At 40.4% G+C, this 18,808-nt stretch overlaps 1 protein-coding gene and 1 pseudogene across 2 annotated transcripts in view; both read left to right on the top strand.

Annotated features, from left to right (window-relative positions):
• Nucleotides 1-18,808, top strand: part of THBS4 (thrombospondin 4) — a 91,956-nt gene that overhangs the window by 22,081 nt on the left and 51,067 nt on the right. The window lies entirely within an intron of this gene.
• RBX1P2 (RBX1 pseudogene 2) lies at nucleotides 6,191-7,478 on the top strand (annotated as a pseudogene).

Here is an 18,808-nt window from a genome sequence, read left to right on the forward strand (position 1 = left end):
ACAGGCATGAGCCACCATGCCTGGCCAAATGTGTGTAATTTCTTAAACCCAAAGGGGTCTAGCCAGGATCCTGCATTGTCATATTTTAAGAATAAAGTGATATCTCCATGAAGGGCCCCACTTTGAGTCCTATTTATGTTTGCCTCTGGGATTTAGCTGTAGCTGGGCATGTGTGATAGTGGGTAGGTGACAGCCTGCCCAGGGTATATTTGCACCCTGGCCATGTAGCATGGGGTTGAGAAAGCAGGCTCCAGTATTCCACAGGTCTGGGTTTAAACCCCAGCTCTACCATTTATTAGGTTTGTGGCCCTGGAAGAGTCTGTATCCCCTCTAAGACTTCATCTCCTCGTTTGTAAAATAGAGATATAATAATACTTTCACAAGGCTATTGTGAGAATTAAATGATGTATAATTCGTTCTTGGCATAGGGCCTAAAACGTAGTAAGCACTGATAAATGACAGTTCTAATAGTAGATACCCCATAACTAAGCGTCTTTGAAGGAAGTTTACCATAAGGTAAGAAGAAAGTCAACTTGATCCAGTAACAAAACCCCAGAAGGAGAGATTCCAGACATAGCTTGGAGCCCAGCTCTTGGCTATGTCTCCTTGCCCAGCTTGCCTGTTATTCATCACTGAGTCCCATGTAGAGGTGGGATTGTAAGTAAATTGTGAAAAGAATGGTTTCAGTAAAAACTCCTTAAGGCTTTGGGATACAGCACAGTGTTGTCTTGATACCACCACCACCACTTCCTACAATACATATGTCCCACCTAACCAGGAAAGAGATAACGTCTCAAACTTTGCTTTAAATGCTGCCCAGCTTTGGAATCTCACAGTGTCCAAAGCATCAGAGGATACTCAATGGATGTAACGGTGGCCTCCAACAGATATGACCATGGTCTTCAGGTGATGTGCCAATGGTATGTAGTAGACACAGCTCTGGTTCCCAACAGAGGTACTGATGATTCCAGCAGTCATGACAGTGGTCCCTCGCAGATGTGGTGGGATCTCTGGAACAAGCAGAATAATGTTCTGTGGATACAGCAGGACCCTTGGAAGCATCAACATTCTCAGACTGATTGAGATGTTAGGGAGTTCAGATATCTCTTAGGCTCAGCAAAAGTGGTACTCGAGCCCAAGGATGTGGTGTTAGCCAGTAGTTGGGGGAAGAGAGGGAGAAAGTGTCTGATACCATGGAGTAGCTGCAGGTATTTATTTATGACCATGTGTGGGTTATAGCCCAAGGTACAGACATTTGGGGTATGAGGAATGTGAAGAAGAGACTTTGAATTGGACAAGAGTGAGGAAAATAGCCAAGGAACTATGGAGTATACTTCTATTACCTGGGGTCACCATAAGCATAAAACTAAGAGCTTCATTTACAGCCCTGTATTTCAATGAGAAAGTGGAAAGAGCACCGGACCAGCAGTCTGGAGAACCAGGTGTTAATCCAAGTCTGTCACTTAATTTCTTCAAACCTTATTGTGTATAGAAAGGAGGAAAAAGAGTAGCACTCAATAACTGACGTCTTTTCTTTGATAATTTTATTTCATCACTACCAGATTCAGATAAAGCCAAAGTCTTGCTAACACTCCTTGCCAGTTGAAATGTGGTGACTCTCAAAAACTTGGAAATGTCACCATTCTGGTAAGAAATCTTTTAATGGAAACTTTACATCTTCTAAAATAATTAACATTCAGTACTCAACCTTAGAACATTTTCCAAATTTAGATGAGAAGAGATGAAGCAAGGAAAAAAGGTGTAACCCTATCATACTTTTCCTTTTGGCGTTGAAATAAATATCCAGTTAGGGGATGGGGAAAGTTTTGGTTTCTTTAGTACTGAGTTGGTGGCAGCAAGAGCTAAGTAGGGGCTGAGCATCTCAGGTATGGGCTTCCCTTAGATGATCCAGCTATCAGGTTCTGCCAAGGTGAGTATGCCCTTGTGGGGCTTGCAAGGCCTAGTCATGGTGGGAGACCCTCTATAAAGGCCTACAAGTACTTAGGGAGGTAAGAGGACACCCCCTCAAGGGCTGAAGCCTGTCTCACCTTTGAGGGCAGTGAGATCACCAGTATCCCTGTGAGCTGTATAACAGGAAGGATAAGTCCATGTTCTGGTGCCGATCCCTATGCCTTTTGGAACATTTCTCCCTCTGATAAGAAACCTCCTTATAATACTTTGTTTCACTGGAACAACATCATCCTCATCATTAGTAAAATGATTGCTGGTTGTCAACATTCACGGAGAAGGTCCCTGGGGAAGGTCAGCTGTTGCAGGGAAGACTGGCATGCTGGCTCCCAAGGCAAGTGTTCCTTTCCATGATGAAGGCACCAGGGACCAGGGTCAGGCCTTCAGTCTCAGAGATGCAGAAACTCTTGTCAGTGCCTGAAAGAAGCTGAAGAATAATAAGCAGACTGCCAATGTTGTCATTAAAAGGCAAGGTATCTTTTACGAGGTGAGCATTAGCATCAGCCTGGCAAGTACATTCTTAGACAAACTGCACGGAAGCCAATTTAACAGAAAGTTGCTTGGCAAGCAACAAGGGTGATGTTTAATGGGGTCAGCCTATAATTACATGATGCATCCATTTCCACCATGTGTTTCTGTCTGCCTCTTGGACCAGAAGGGCTGTCTTTGGGGCCAGGAAGACCCTTCCCTGGACAGTATTCACGCATCTACTGCCAGACTTTGCCTCACTGACTCTTCCTGTGTCACACATTCCCAAACCTCAATGACTCACCAATTCCCTTTCTGATTGACATGGTCTTGCCTTAAACGTGTTGATGTCTTTAATCAAGACAGATTAAAGTGAAGTTTCTTTTTTCTGGAAGATGTGACTGCATACTGTTTTGACCGATTATATGTGCTCAGCTGGCAAAGGGCTATGTCCCTTCATAGCCTAATTCTTGGGGTCACCCCATTGTTGCCTTCCTCCCATATAACACCTACACTGTAGTGTTGAAATGTCATCATGTTTTATTTTATTTCATTTTTATTTTCTGTGTTCTTTTTCTGTGTTCCACTGATTTTTTTGAGTGGGATTGGTCTGCGAAATGGTATTATTTTTAGCACAAAATGAATCCAGTGAGACAAAATCTTGTAACAAATTCAACTGTTTCACTGTATGAAAGCAGGGCAGGTTCTTTACTGATGACAATTTCTGTTTGAGAAACCAAACTGAGTTCTTCATAAATGATGAACAAATAATATACACATATTATTGTATTTAGGATTATAGTATTGCTAGCCCTAAAAAATGATCAATGAAGTATTGGCAATGTGAGGTGATAATTTTTTGTTTCTCCTTTTCATAATAGATTTTGCCTGTCCTGTTAGTGATTTGCACTGCCCGCAGCTACCCAAAACCTCAAGCATAGACAAACTGCTTAAAATTCCAACGTTTGATGAACTGATTCAAAACGGATAGATTAACCCATACCACACTCCCTGTGCTGACACTAATGAAAAAACAAAACAGCAAAAGAGTTTCCACTTCCCAGATGTCAATCTTCTATTTGCTTTAATCATTTTATATTTATTTATTGATCCATTCAATTATGTTGGTTTATTCCTACTTAAGTTGTTCCAAAGCATTTAAGACAGATGATAAGAACACAAGATAAAAATCAGGATCAAGAAAAATAAAAATAAATGTTAGATGACAAAGATGGGAGGAGGAATTAGAATTACAAAGATGTGTAGAATGCTAGTTCCTACATAATTATTAAAATGGAGGCCAATGTTCAAGCTGGGCTTCCTGGTGGCAAAAGCATACATGAAATTATAATAGGTACAAAATAATACCGTAAAGAAAACCTCCCCAAATAAAGAAAGCTTTTTCTTGGCACTCGAATCTGAAAGAAATTTTTTATTTAGATAAGAAAATCTCAGTGATATGGATAACACAATACCACAATACAATCTAACAACATGCAACCCAACAAAATGTGTGTTTTTTTAAGGAATTTTGTTCTTTGCTCAATTTCTTCCATCTACTAATTTTTAAATAATGCATCCTCTGTCTATTCATTTGAGGTTAACCCAAATATTTTAATATTTAATAAAATCTAAGTTTAAATCTTTTTACCTGCTTCTGAAAAATACAAGGGGATTATAAGACTAATCAAATTGCTTCCCATGCCACTTTATTTGTTGTTTTAGTTGAGTGTGTTAGTTCTATTTTGCTTTTTAATTCTACAAATTAAACACTATTATTATTGTCATCACCATTGTTTTATATGGCCAGTGTTGAAGTGTATTTATTTATAAATGTCTTTGCTCACCATTTCTTCTTGAATTTCAGACTTTCAATTTGGATTCATTTTCTGTGAGCCTCAAGTATATCCTTCGAAATTTTCTTTTGTGAGGATCTATACTCAGTTTTGTTTGTCTTAAATGTCTTTTATTTTACTCTTATTCTTAAACGATCTTTTTACTAATCGTGGGATTTGGGATTGATCTTTTTTTTTCTTTGACACGTTGAAAATGATATTCTGGCTTCCATTAATGCTGTTGGAAACACTGCTGTACCTCTAATTTTTATTCCTTTGTGGTGATTTGTTATCTTTGGCTACTTTTAAGATAGATCCTCTCTTTGACCTTGTTGTTCTGAACTTCCACTCTAATGTGCCAAGGAATTATTTTATTTGTATTTATCTGCTTGTGATTTGGCTTATCATCTTTCAGCAATTCTGAAAAACTCTCAGCCATTTTTCCTTGGAATATTGTCTCTTTTCCATTCTTTCTACTGTGTTTTTCCAGAGCTCCAATTAGGTGTATGGACTTTTTCAAAAACTCTTTCTTTTTCTCTTATTATATTTTGAAATCTCATTTCTCTGTACTATATTTTATATGATTTCTTTAGATTTATCTTATACTTCACTAGTTATCTCTTTGTGTCCAGTCTGCTGTTTAATTCATACATTGATTTTAATTTAAATTATATTTCCATTTACAGAAGTTCCAGTTCAAATATACTTTTTTTTTTTTTTTTTTTTTTGAGACAGAGTTTTGCTCTTGTCACCCAGGCTGGAGTGCAATGGCATGATCTCGGCTCACTGCAACCTCTGCCTCCTGGGTTCAATTGATTCTCCTGCCTCAGCCTCCCTAGTAGCTGAGATTAGAGGCACCTGCCACCACACCCGGCTAATTTTTGTACTTTTAGTAGAGATGGGGTTTCACCATGTTGGCCAGGCTGTTCTCAAACTCCTGACTTTAGGTGATCTGCCCACCTCGGCCTTCCAAAGTGCTAGGATTACAGGTGTGAGCCACCGTGCCCAGCCCAAATATACTTATTTTTTAAACATTTTTTATTTCTTGTCATTATTTTCAAATGTCTGTTTTATTTCTTAAAGCATATTAAGTATATTTATTGTATAGTTTACTTCTGATATTTCTAGTATCTGCAAGTCTGTGAAAGTGTGATGTTGTTGTCTGCTATTTCCTCTGGCTCTTACTTGGTGTGCCTTTTGCCTAGTATACTTTGTCTTTGTGTGTTGGGAGGGGAGTTCATGTTCTTTAGAATGTTATCTGCAGGATTTTTTGAGAACTGGTTAAAGTTGGTGTCCTTCAGAAAGGATTTTCTTTTACTTCGATTGCCTGGGAGGACTACCAGTTCTCTCTGTGATTGTTTTTTTTTTTTTTTCTTGTCATGCTTTCCACTTCCACTGCATTTCTCACTGGCTCAACTATAGTAGCATGAATTTGGAACTACAAAACCACAAGAAGCAACATCAACTATGAAGTATCATTGATAAAAATATTTAACTTGAATCTAATCATGAGAAATAATTGACCAAATCAAGACTATAGGACAGAATCTAGGACATTCTATAGAGCCTGGATTCTTCAAAAAAGTCATACACACACACACATGTACGTACACCTTAATTTATAAGATAGAAATCAAAAGAAACTACAGAGATGAACAGCCCAATGCAAGGCATGCCCTTCATTGATTTCTGGATTTTTTTAAGTCATAAAAGATATTTGGGAGTCACTTAAGAAAATTAGAATGCAAACTGTATATTAAATGGCATTATGGAATTATCATTACTTTTCTTAGGTGAGATAAGGATATTGTAATTATACAAGAGATGTCCTTCATCTAGGAGATGGCTGCTGAAGTATTGAAGGGTAAAGTGTCCTGTGCTTATAACTGGCTTTCAAACAGACAAACAAAAAAAGCTGGTCCAAAATGGCAGTGGCAATGGATGTGGATACCCCAAGAAGTACCAACAGCAGTGCTTTGAAGTAAAAAAGTGAAATGCAGTAGCTAGCCCTCTGGGCTTGGGATGTTGTGGTTAATAACTGTGCCATCTGCAGGAATCACAGCATGGATCTGCATTGAATGTCAAGCTAACCAAGAGTCTGCCACTTCAGAAGTGTGTACCGTTGCACGGGGAGCCTGTAACCGTGCTTTTCACTTCACTGTCTCTCTCACTGGCTCAAAACACAACAGCTGTGCCTGTTGGACAACAGACAATAGGAATTCCCAAAGTATGGACACCAGAAAAAGAATTCTTCCATCAAGCTTAACTGTTTTGTGATTCATTTAATGACTTGCCCTTCTGTCACTTAATTATAAATTAGATAGAACTGTGTCTTTTCTGCTTTGTCTTTGCCATTTGCTGTTCTCGCAGCCACATTGTATTCTGTGTCAAATAAAGTCCAGTTGGATTCTAGAGCGAATGCTGTCTCCTGTGTATGTGAACAAAAGTGAACGTAAATGAAGGGTCCCCTCTTCCAAGGCTGAAAAGCCACCTTTTAAAAGTGAAATGTGCCGGGCGCAGTGGCTCACGCCTGTAATCCCAGCACTTTGGGAGCCGAGACAGGTGGATCACGAGGTCAGGAGATCGAGACCATCCTGGCTAAGACGGTGAAACCCCGTCTCTGCTAAAAATACAAAAAAAATTAGCCAGGCGTGGTGGCAGGAGCCTGTAATCCCAACTACTCGGGAGGCTGAGGCAGGAGAATGGCATGAACCCGGGAGGCGAAGGTTGCAGTGAGCCAAGATCGCATCACTGCACTCCAGCCTGGGTGACAGAGCGAGACTCCATCTCAAAAAACAAAAAACAAACAAACAAACAAAAAAAGAAAGTGAAATGTGTGTCCATTAGAGCCAGAACAGGATTGTCCTGTGAGTGCATCGCTTAGTCAGAGGACTCCAACTGTACAAGGGGGAATGTGGATCGCTGACCCTGAAAACAGCAGTCAGCCCTGTCTTCCTCTGGTGTGATAGCAGCAGGCAGCTGAATGAGGAAAGAACGTGGGATTCAGAGTCATCACACCCAGCTCTGAGTCCTGGTTGCATAGGCTGGCTACTGATGGCAATCTCGGGCACGTTGCCTGTCTACCCTGAGCTTTTCTCCTCTATAATGCAGGCTTCTAAGGACTACATGGCATTACATGGGGCACAGAAAGAGGCTTTATAAAATGCAAAACCACTATAGAAATGTAAACATTGCATGCATATGACATGTTGCTTTCTCTTCTTAGCTTAGAAAAATAAATTTTAAAAAATTGTAATATGTAATCTTGGCTGGCAAATGTATGAACTCAATTTAAAAACTGATGTCACCTAAAATTGAATTAACACAAGAGTTCAAGTTTCCTTTACTACCACTACCTCATCACAACTTGTTAAAATGTTTTGGGCCACAGAAGGAATTGCCAATTCTAGTACTAATTTGGTAGCTATAGAGAATCTTCAACCGAGAAACAGTTTTGTTGCAGTGGTTCTCGAAATATGGTCTGAGGATTCCTGGGGGTACCTGAGACCATTTCAGGGGGTTCACGAAGTTCTCCCTCCAACTGCAAGTCCATGTGAAACTAGTTTTTCTTCATATACTTTAACCAAAGCAGTGCATCAAATGAAGAAGCAGACTTGAGAATCCAACTGTCTTCCATTGTCAGACATAAAAGAGATTTGCAAAAAGGTAAAACAATGCTAGTCTTATCACTAAATTTTTTCATTTTGAAAAATAGTTGATTTTAATAAAAGTATGTTAATAAGTGAAAAAACATTATCTATACACAGACACATACACACATATGTATAGGCATATGAGATAAAGTAGTGACTCTAAGAGCACTGTTCATAGTACTTTGCTTCTTAGAGACAGGGTCTCTGTCATCCAGGCTGGAGTGTCGTGGTACAGTCGTAGCTCACTATAGCCTCAAACTCCCAGACTCAAGGGATCTTTGCATCTCAGCCTCTACATGCGCCACTACATCCAGCTTAGATTTTTGTATTTTTTGTAGACACGGGGTCTGTGTTTTGTATATTTTGTAGAGACGGGGTCTGTGTTGCCCTGACTGGTCTTGAACGCCTGGCCTCAAAGAATACTCTTCCTTCGGCCTCCTAAAGTACAAGGATTACAGGCAGGAGCAGCTGCACTTGGCCTCATTGTACTTTTCATTCAACTTTTTTGTAGGCTCAAAATTTCCACAAATTTTTAAATTTTGTGGGAAAGTGTAAAAACAAACCAGAAAATCACATGAATTCCCCTAGAGGTGTTCTCCTCTACTCCACAGCCAAAATCGGGAGAGGCAAATTTCTTGTTCTCTCCTTTTGGGAGGAGGGTTTATGTCTAAGCTACCCTACACTGAGGGTGCGACTCCTGATGTCTCAGTTTTCTATGAAAGGTTTCCTACTGGGCTTTTCACCCTAGGATGTCTTTTTCTTAATCTCTTCAACCCATTATGCTGATACAACAGAAGTTTAAGGTCCCAGGTTTTATCAGGCACTTTCAGGGTAAAATCTAGCTTTGGCACTCGCTTTCCCTCTCAGGACTCAGGCTTTCATTTTATATTTGGTCTCTATACGTTTCTTGCTTTCTTGCCAGCTCAATAATTCATTTAATTTTAAAATTTCTACCCCAAGTTTTTAGTTATTTTCACTGGGAGGATCATTCAGGGTATGTCATCACATTACACTACTAGAAACAATGCAACAGCATTTTAAATGGAAGTTAAATTGCAATCACTTTTCTTCCAATTCTTGCAGAGATTCAAACAGTGGTTACAGCCACAAGCAAGAGATTCAAATAGTGGTTACAACCACAAGCAAGTTTTGAAAAAAAAATTCTTTACCATAATACTGTAAAAAAGCTTGTGGCCCTAAGGCATAAATCCAGCATGTTCACCTTTCAATTACACAGTTGAAAATATAGTTGTCTCAACACAAAAAGGTGCTCTATCAAACCAATCTTTCTCCCTAATTTGTGCAGCTCATTTATTCAAATTATTGTGAATTCAGAATTCTACATTCTGTACAAAAAAAAGTATGAAGATAGGCCAGATCATGAGAAAACACCTTCTCAAAAGTCATAAATACGTTCATAACAATGTGGAAATAGCCCTGTTGACAAGTGCAGTACATCTCTTTTTTCATGCTTTTTAATTTGCAAGGACATTTTTATATAAGAAGCAGGTTTCTAAAGCCAATGTCATTCATGGTTTCCTTTTTAGTGTAGTGGGCTTGGGATCCTCGGGATTAGACTACTGCCTGAGGATGGTCCACTCCCCTTTACTCAAGCCTCCCCTTAAGATTTAGGATAGACCTTTCCCCTGGATAACTGAGTAGGTTATCATCAATTTCCTTAGTTGCAAGAACACCAGCCTCAATTATTTATTAAAGAAAAATAAAGAAAAAGGTAAACAGACATGATTCTGCAAAAAACAAATCTCAGAATTATAACATCACATGAAAACCCAGTCCCTGATTATCATGGAATAATTATTCCCGAGTGTCCATTACAGGTTGTAGATGCTGGATATTTTTATCCTGAGACCTTGTTTGGCCTGAACCAGCCCTTGAACTCTATTTGTCTCATCTCTACATTGGACAATATACCTAGCTGTACCTGCATATACACATGTGAGATATATCGTATCTCTATATAAAGTAACACACACTCCACCTGAGTTTGGAGCTCAGTATTTGCTCTGTTACAAAAGCAGCTGAAATCACTCATTCTACTTGTAGTCAGGGCAATTAAAATTTACTCTAAGTCCTGCTGTATTTTCCTTCCATTTACAAGAGGGTTAGGTGCCCCTTCCCTAACAGAGTATGCTCTACTTGTTCAAAGATTGTCAACAATAACCTACAGTTTCCCCGTTTCCTCTTATTTAAGCTTTGGGTGATAATAGATTAACAAACTCAATTACAAATGGAAACATCTGAACTCCACTGTCTTAATTTATTTAGTGTTGCTGTAACAGAATATCCAAGACTGGGTAGTTTATTTTAAAAGAAAGAGAGAGAGGTCTATTTGGCTTATGATTGTGGTGGCTGAAAAGTTCAAGTTTGGGCATCCACACACATGTGGTGATGGCCTGAAGCTGCTTCAACTCTTGGTGGAAAGCAAAAGGGGAGCTGGTGTGTGCAAAGAGATCACATGGTGGGAGGGGAAGCAAGAGAGAAACCAAGGAGCCAGGCTCTTTCTCACAACCCATCCCATTCTAATCCATCCCACGAGAGTAAGAACTCGCTCACCTTTGTGGAAGGGCATTAATCTATTCCTGAGGAATCCATCCCCAGGATTCACACACCTCTCACTAGGGCCCACCTCCCCACACCACCGCAAAGGGGATCAAATTTCAACATGAGTTTGGGTGGGACAAACCATCTCCAAACCATAGCACCCACAAAAATAAAGATAATAATAAGGAAACCACCATGTGCCAGGCACTGGGTTAAGTGTTTATATTCATCCTCCAACTAAGAACAGTACTATTGGCTTTTCCACTCACCTGAAAACAGGTCCCATTAGCATCTTCATCTTATGAATGACCACTCTAAGGAACAGAACCATTAAATGGCTTCCCAAGGTCATATAGTCATGGAGCCAGTATTAAAGGCTGTTGCACTCCTAACCAGGACACTACCCCTTCTTGTTTTTACCGGCCACTCTCAGAAATGTTTCAAGATCATGCATCCTGGGAATCAGTTTCAGGTCCCTGAAGTCAGAAGCCCAATGCTGTTCATTGAGAGCCATGATATGTTACGCACCACCCTAGAGCTGGTTCTTAACCCATAAGGTAGCTATCGTTCCCATTTCCCAGTGAGGAAAGTAAGACACCACTCCTTTATTCATCCAAGAGCGTAAAGGACTTCCCCAAGGCCACACAGCTAGTAAGTGGCTGGGCCAGGTTTCAAACCCAGGTGTGGCTCCACCGTGCTGCCTCTCCAGATCATACATAGCATTATGATTCCTTCACGGGACAGAGCTATATCATGATGTAGCATGCTGGTGACCACAACCATTTTGGCAATGGCTTTCTAAAAATACAGAGAAAAAAAGCAAATACTAAAAAACTGAGTTTTTGGCTTCACATAATATGTGAAGAAGGAAGTACGTTAAATTAATTACAAGAAATGCATTCTCATGGCCTCAATTCACGTAGTGTGCCCCAGAAGCAAAGTTTTATGCATTGATTAGACATTCACTCTCCCTAAGGCAGTGCAGGCAAGTAGAAGGACACTGTGTCTAGGGTCAGAAGACCTCAGTTCGAGTCCACTTTCTGGCATTTCCTTGGGAAGGTTGTTCAATCTCCCTGACCTTCAGTTTTCTAATCTGTGCAGTGGAAATTATAACTATAGTACCTGCTGAAAAAATTGGTGCGTTATAATTATAACTATGGCACTCATCTGTCCCACCTCATTGTTGTAAAGATTAGATGAGATCAAATATAAGACAAAGCTCCCTATCTGAATGAGATATTTAAAGTTGGTTATTATTATGATGTGGGTTTCTAGGCAGTAAAAACTTACCATACTCTTCCACAGAAAAAGAAAAAGATGACGTGTGGATATATGTTTACTTATAATAAACATGCATATATATGCATGCATGAATATGAGTACAAGGACATATGTATTAGAACATTGTGGTGTGCAAAAGAAGATGAGAAAAACTAGTCATAATCTCGCAGAAGAAGCCCTGATAAAGTATGCTAGGGCAAGTCTGCAGGCCTCTGATTTTAGCTGCTTAACTATTGGATACACAGACAGTGTTGAAAGATTGTGTTCAAGGCACTGCAGCCCTCAGAGAACTAGCCCCAAAGCCCATGACCCCACAAGCAACTTTAGGGAGCTGCTGTGGATGAAGTACCTGGCCCCACTGGAAAGGCACTAGAAAATGAGCTCTTACTTTGCAGGGAGTGGTCAGGGGAACATCAAGGAAAGAAGAAGGAATCATCAATGGGGCTTGGGGCTCACTCAGGAGGAGCTCTTCCTGATAGGTGCTTTAAAGGAATCAGTGCTCAAAACCCCTGGATGTGATGAGCTCATTCATCCTTGAGGGACCCTTTGTCGCCTCTCACCTGTCCTTCTGAGGTCCTCCACGCGTTCCCCTTCTCTGTTCTTATTCCAAATTCCTCTACTACATTTACTCACCCTGGATTTCTGGGTAAACTTTATTAGATTTGTTACATCTATTTTCCTTTCCCATTAGTCAATTTTTAAATGTGGTAGCCAAAATAATCAACATCACTAGTAATTATACCCATACTCAAAAACTCTTCTGGTGAAGAGGCATGGCAGAACTCCACAGGGAAATCCTATTGTGAGGATTATATAGGTCGGAAAGTCATTTTTAACTGACATGCATGATAAAGCACATGCTACATACCAATGGAATTTAACGTTCAAATGGAATAATAAACTATGTTTGCAGTATACATTTCTAGATCCATACATGAAATCACATTTCCATTAAACAGTTTTCAAGTCAGTGACCAATTCCCTCCTACTTCTCCTGAAATTTATATGAACCTGGATCATTTTAATACCACTGGAAAGAAACACTATACTTAGAAGGAGATGAACAACAGATTTAATATTTTTTCGTTTGCGGTACTAGGAGGCAAGCTGGTAACTCTAATGCCCTGTGTGCCTCGACTCCTAGATCTGAGTAGTCAATAAGAAAGTAGGGAAGGGACTACCAGCAAGAAAAGAAGCCCACTAATATTTCCTTCTCCTTCCTTCTGTGTTTTCTTCTGCTTAATAATTGAGTCTAATATTAATGGACAAGGATTGCCAGAAAAGGCATGATCTAGAACAGGGGTCAGTAACCTTTTCTGTAAAGGACCAGAGAGTAAATATCTGAGCCCTTCGCAGGCCACATGGGCTCTGTTACAACTACTCAACTGTGCCATTGTGCCACAAAAATGGACACAGCATTGCTGTATTCCAATAAAACTTTAATTATGAGCCTTGAAATTTGAATTTCACATGATTTTCACATCACAAATATTAAATTCCAATCATTTAAAACTATAAAAATTATTCTTAGCTCACTGATCCTATAAAAACAAGCAGTGGGCCAGATTCAGCCTATAGGCTATAGTTGCCAGTCCCTGGTCTAAAACTTTTAATACATTAAGAGTATTCTTCTCATTAAAACCACTGAAATTGAAGTCATTTTCTCTCTTTCTGCCCATTTACTTTTCCCTAAGACTTTAATTTTTTTCCCCACACTCTCATTCCCATTCTGATTTACCAGGACATTACTTCTCCTCTCTACCTCACATATTTGTTTTATTGCACTATAAACCTCACTGGAGAATAAAACTATTTGCCAAAGACCCACCTGTAAACACCCAGCACTGCAGCAGCCACTAACAAAGAGGAAGACACAGAACCTGTGGCCAATCATGTGGACATTGGCAATAATCCATTCCCTTCTCCTTCTTTCTTCCTGGTAGAGTCCACCTCTTATAATAGTCTGAAGAAAACAGATTGTTACTTTTCCACCTTCCTGGCAAACAAAGGGGTATGTCTGTGACCAACTCCTGGACAGTAAGACCTGAAGAGAAGTCTGTTGGGGTGCTTCTAGGAAAGGTTTTTCTCACTGGAAAAAAGAAAGCTACAAGAGCAGAATCCCCACCCTCTCCTTGTTTCCTACTTTTAGATGATATCATGTAAAGAGACAGTGTTTAGAGCTGCAGCAGCCATTTTGCAACCATGAGGGAAATCCAGGAATTGGTCCACAGGCATAACATCATTAATTCACCAAAGCACCTCCACAGCTCTCTCCCCCTGGACTTCCTGTTGTAGGCAATAATAAATCCCCAAGATGGGAATTTTGTTGCCATTTATTACACCGACAGACTTCATTCTTGCAAAGCTTACATTGCTAGAGGAGTGATGTGACACATAAAATGAAAAACCCGTTACAAAAAAACATAAAATATCAGGCAGGACACAGCGGCTCACACCTGTAATCCCAGCAGTTTGGGAGGCGGAGGCAGGTGGACTGCTCGAGCCCAGGAGTTCAAGACCAGCCTAGGCAATATGGCAAAATCCCATTTCGACAAAAAAAAATACAAAAATTGGCCAGGCATGTAGTGGACACATGTAATCCCAGCTACTTGGGAGGCTGAGATGGATCACTTGAGGCCAGGAGGTTGAGGCTGCAGTGAGCCGAGGTCGTGCCACTGCACTCCAGCCTGGGTGACAGAGTGAGACCCTGTCTCCAAAAAAAAAAAAAAAAAAAAAAGGAAGAAAAAACCTAAAATACCATAACTCCTCCCTCCTTGGCAGCTCTATTCGACCTAAATCAAAATACGTTCATATCTCTCCCACAGAGTTACTGCTCTATATATACTTTCTGCTTTACAGACAAACTTCTTAAAAGTTAATCTGTCCTTAGCAGGGCACAGTAGTGCACACCTGCAATCCCAGCTACACAGGAGACTGAGGCAGGAGTATCTTTTGAACCCAGGAGTTTCAGACCAGCCTGGGCAACACAGCAAGACATCCCCACCCCACCCCACCTCCGCCACTGTCTCTAAAAACCCACCAACTTATCTACCCTTACCATCTCCACTTCCTATTCTGTCATCCTCACTCCTCAAATAGCAATACTCTGCCCTTCTTTCACCCACATTACTCCATCAAACTGCTTTCAACAGAGTCACCAGTGACTTCCCAGTTGATAAACCCAAGCACAGTTTTTAGCTCTTATCTGGCCTGACCTCTCCACACAGGTCAAAATAGTCGATACTATACACTATACCTCCCCCGCACCATACTTTTTTTTTTTGGTTTGTTTGTTTTGAGACAGAGTCTTGATATGTCGCCCAGGATGGAATGCAGTGGTGTGATCTCGGCTCACTGCAACCTCCACCTCCCGAGTTCAAGCGATTCTCCTGCCTCAGCCTCCCAAGTAGCTGGGATTACAGACGCCCACCACCATGCCCAGCTAATTTTTGTATTTTTAATAGAGATGGGGTTTCACCATGTTGGCCAGGCTGGTCTCAAACTCCTGACCTCAAGTGATCCACCCATCTCGGCCTCCCAAAGTGCTGGGATTACAGGCGTGAGCTACCATGCCCGGCCCACAAAACCATACTTTCCAGATTTTCTTTTGCATCCTTAAGTATTTATTTCTGGCTTCTCCTTCTACTAGGCTCTTAATACTAGTGTTCCCCAGTGTTCCTGTACCCCCCTCCCTGTTTTTTCTTATTTTACCCACTCTTTTTATATAGTCTCATCTGTACCTACAGCTTTAGTGAACTAATTAGAAGTAATTTGTAATTAGCAGCACTGATTTTCCTGTTGAAAGTTAACTACTAAAATCCCTCGATGTGACAGTTCTTTTAGTTAGGACAAACATGCCCCCAGGAAATGAAGTAATACTATTCATTTGCTTGCAAACCATTTTTTCCCCATAGATGAACTTCAGCCCAAATAAAATCAAACTATCCAAAATTCCCAGCTACTTGGGAGGCTGAGGCAGGATCCAAATTCATGTAATTTTCGTGTATTTTGCAAGTTTGTTTTATGCCATATTAATTCATTACACTCCACATCATATTTTCTTAGCAAATACATCTAGACACCTGGCACTCAGTAAGGGATATTCCTGGCACGATAATCATTGTTATCATTAGACATTGCAGGAACCACCATATGGATGGATAAATGTGTTGTTTAATGAAGGCAAGCAATTACTTTAAGAGATCCTAGTTGTTATAAACTCTCTCTGGACTTCAAGTTTGGTATATACATAATTATTAAATGTATACATAATTATTAATTGTAACATGTCCTCACAATTGATTTCTGGCTATTTTTCTAAGGATTTTACACTTTATTTAGTAAAATATATTAAAGAGGTTAATGATAATTTTTTTATAGAGACCCTTAGATTGAAAATGACTGATTTTTCACACCTCTTTTCTTGCTTTACTAATCGTCAGTGCCTAATTGCTAAAGCAAAATATCTTCTAAATTCTGGGGAGGAAATTCTACTTTGGGCCAGGCGCGGTGGCTCACGCCTGTAATCCCAGCACTTTGGGAGGCCGAGGCGGGCTGATCGTGAGGTCAGGAGATTGAGACCATCCTGGCTAACATGGTGAAACCCCGTCTCTACTAAAAATACAAAAAAAAAAAAAAAAATTAGCCGGGCATGGTGGTGGGCACCTTTAGTCCCAGCTACTCGGGAGGCTGAGATAGGAGAATGGCGTGAACCCGGGAGGCGGAGGTTGCAGTAAGCCGAGATCGCGCTGCTGCACTCCAGCCTGGGCGACAGCGAGACTCCATCTCAAAAAAAAATAATAGGAAATTCTACTTTGAATTGCACACTAATCAAAAGACTCCAGCTTCATTTACAGAGACCTTATCTGTGCTAAGTAGTTTTTGGAATAGCTTTTTTCCTGTCACTTAAGCACCTTCCTTTATTATTAATAGTAAACTAAATAGGAGTCCAAAGTCTGCCTTTCCCAGTGCTAGAGTATAAATGTCATCACACGGTAGAATGTAAACATCTTTTTTTTTTATTATTTTTATTTTTTTGGACAGGGTCTTGCTCCGTGGCCCAGGCTGGAATGCAGTGGCATGATCATGGCTTTCACTGCAGTCTCAACCTCCTGGGCCCAAGCAATTCTGTCACCCCAGCCTCCCAAGTTCCTGGGGCCACAGGTGGGCACCACCATGGCTAACTAATTTTTTAATTTTTTTTTTTGAGACAGAGTCTCACACTGTTGCCTGGGCTGGAGTGCAGTGGTGCAATCTCGGCTCACTGCAACCTCCACCTCCCGGGTTCAAGCGATTCTCCTGCCTCAGCCTCCTGAGTAGCTAGGATTACAGGTGCCCACCACCATGCCTGGCTAATTGTTTGTATTTTTAGTAGAGACGGGGTTTCACCATGTTGGCCAGGCTGGTCTCGAACTCCTGACCTTGTGATCCACCGGCCTCGGCCTCCCAAAGTGCTGAGATTATAGGTGTGAGCTACTGCGCCTGGCCTGATTTTTTAATTTTTATTTTTATAGAGATGAGGTCTCACTATGTTGCCCAGGTTGGTCTCCAGCTCCTGGCTCAAGTGATTCTCCCACCTTGGCATCCTAAGTGCTGAGATTATAGGCATGAGCCTCCATGCCTGGCCCCTTTATCCATCTTTTAATGTTAATAATTATATCCATTTCTGTTTCCTTCAAAAATTCAAGTGGAAAACCTGACATAAATAATGGTAACTTTTTTATTATACCTATATCAATTAACACATATGTATAAAACTTCTACTTAGTTGTGCCAAATATCAGTGCACAGTATGGGTGATTTCCCCCACTTGCGAAGAATGGTGCTATAGTCACCGCACAGGAGCAGGATAGATCCCCACTCTCAAAATTGGGTTTGGATATCAAAATCAATAATGCCATCACACATGCAGCAAAGGGGTTTGAAAGGTTTATTGCTCACATAATACGTTTTTTTGGGGGAGAGTAAGATGGGCTTCCAAGCTGGTCTGAAAACTAGAGAGAACAAGAAAGGAGAATGGCTTTGGGATTCTTATTGTGGTTAGGAGTGGGGCTGTGGTGAGGGTTCCTGTACATGGGCTAGGGCTTACTGTTGGAACTTTGTGCTAGTGCCAAGGAAGGAGCACCTAGGCATTCTTATCAGTTTGCTCAGATGTGGGGCAGAGAGGAAGGGAAGTGGTGGGGCTTGAGAACTGTCTGCAGTCAAACATCAAAAATTAAGTCATACTCTGTATTACAACAATTAGAAAAGAAATAAAATGTAGTATATCAGTTCTCTATTGCTACAATATTGTTACATAACAAACAACCCCCAAACCTCAATGGTATACAAAAATAAATGTGTCCTGCTCACACATCTGGAGTCAACTAAACAGCTCTGCTGATCTTGCCTGAACTCATTCATCTGTCAGCTTGATCTTGGCTGGCTTTGCCAGGGGTGGGCTATACCCTGCTCTATGTCTCTCATCCTCCAGTAGGCCAGCACAGGCATGCTATCATGGCAAAGGCAAAGGTGCAGGAGTAAACCAGCCCAATAACACAAGCACTTTTTAAGCCTCTGCTTGTGGCACTTTTGCCAAAATCCTGTTGGCCAAGCATGTTACGTGGCCAAGCCATGAGATGTGTACACAGAAAAATAAAAGATGTGTACACAGAAGAGCAAAGAATTGGGGCCATTTTTGTAACCTACTGCACCTATTAATGGATTACTAATATGTCACAACTCTTATCCTAGATTACAGTATTAAGAGAAGGAAAGTCAATTCAATGATATATTTACTACTAAATGTTAGGTACTGTACTTGGAATTAGAGTTACAAAACTAAATGAGATAATCCTAAGGAGCTCACAGTTGGATACTGGAAAAAAAATCAAACAAATTAATACATTATTAAAATAAATGAAATAAAATCCAATGTAAGTACATGAATAGATATTTTAATAAGAAGTGGCATGGAAATGAAAATAAACTCTTTTGTCTCCTTTATCATATATTTCATAGCTAATTAAATTAATTTTATTATAATCAAATTTACTGTAGACC

The sequence above is a fragment of the Homo sapiens genome, chromosome 5 (assembly GCF_000001405.40).
Source record: "Homo sapiens chromosome 5, GRCh38.p14 Primary Assembly".
Taxonomy (NCBI): domain Eukaryota; kingdom Metazoa; phylum Chordata; class Mammalia; order Primates; family Hominidae; genus Homo; species Homo sapiens.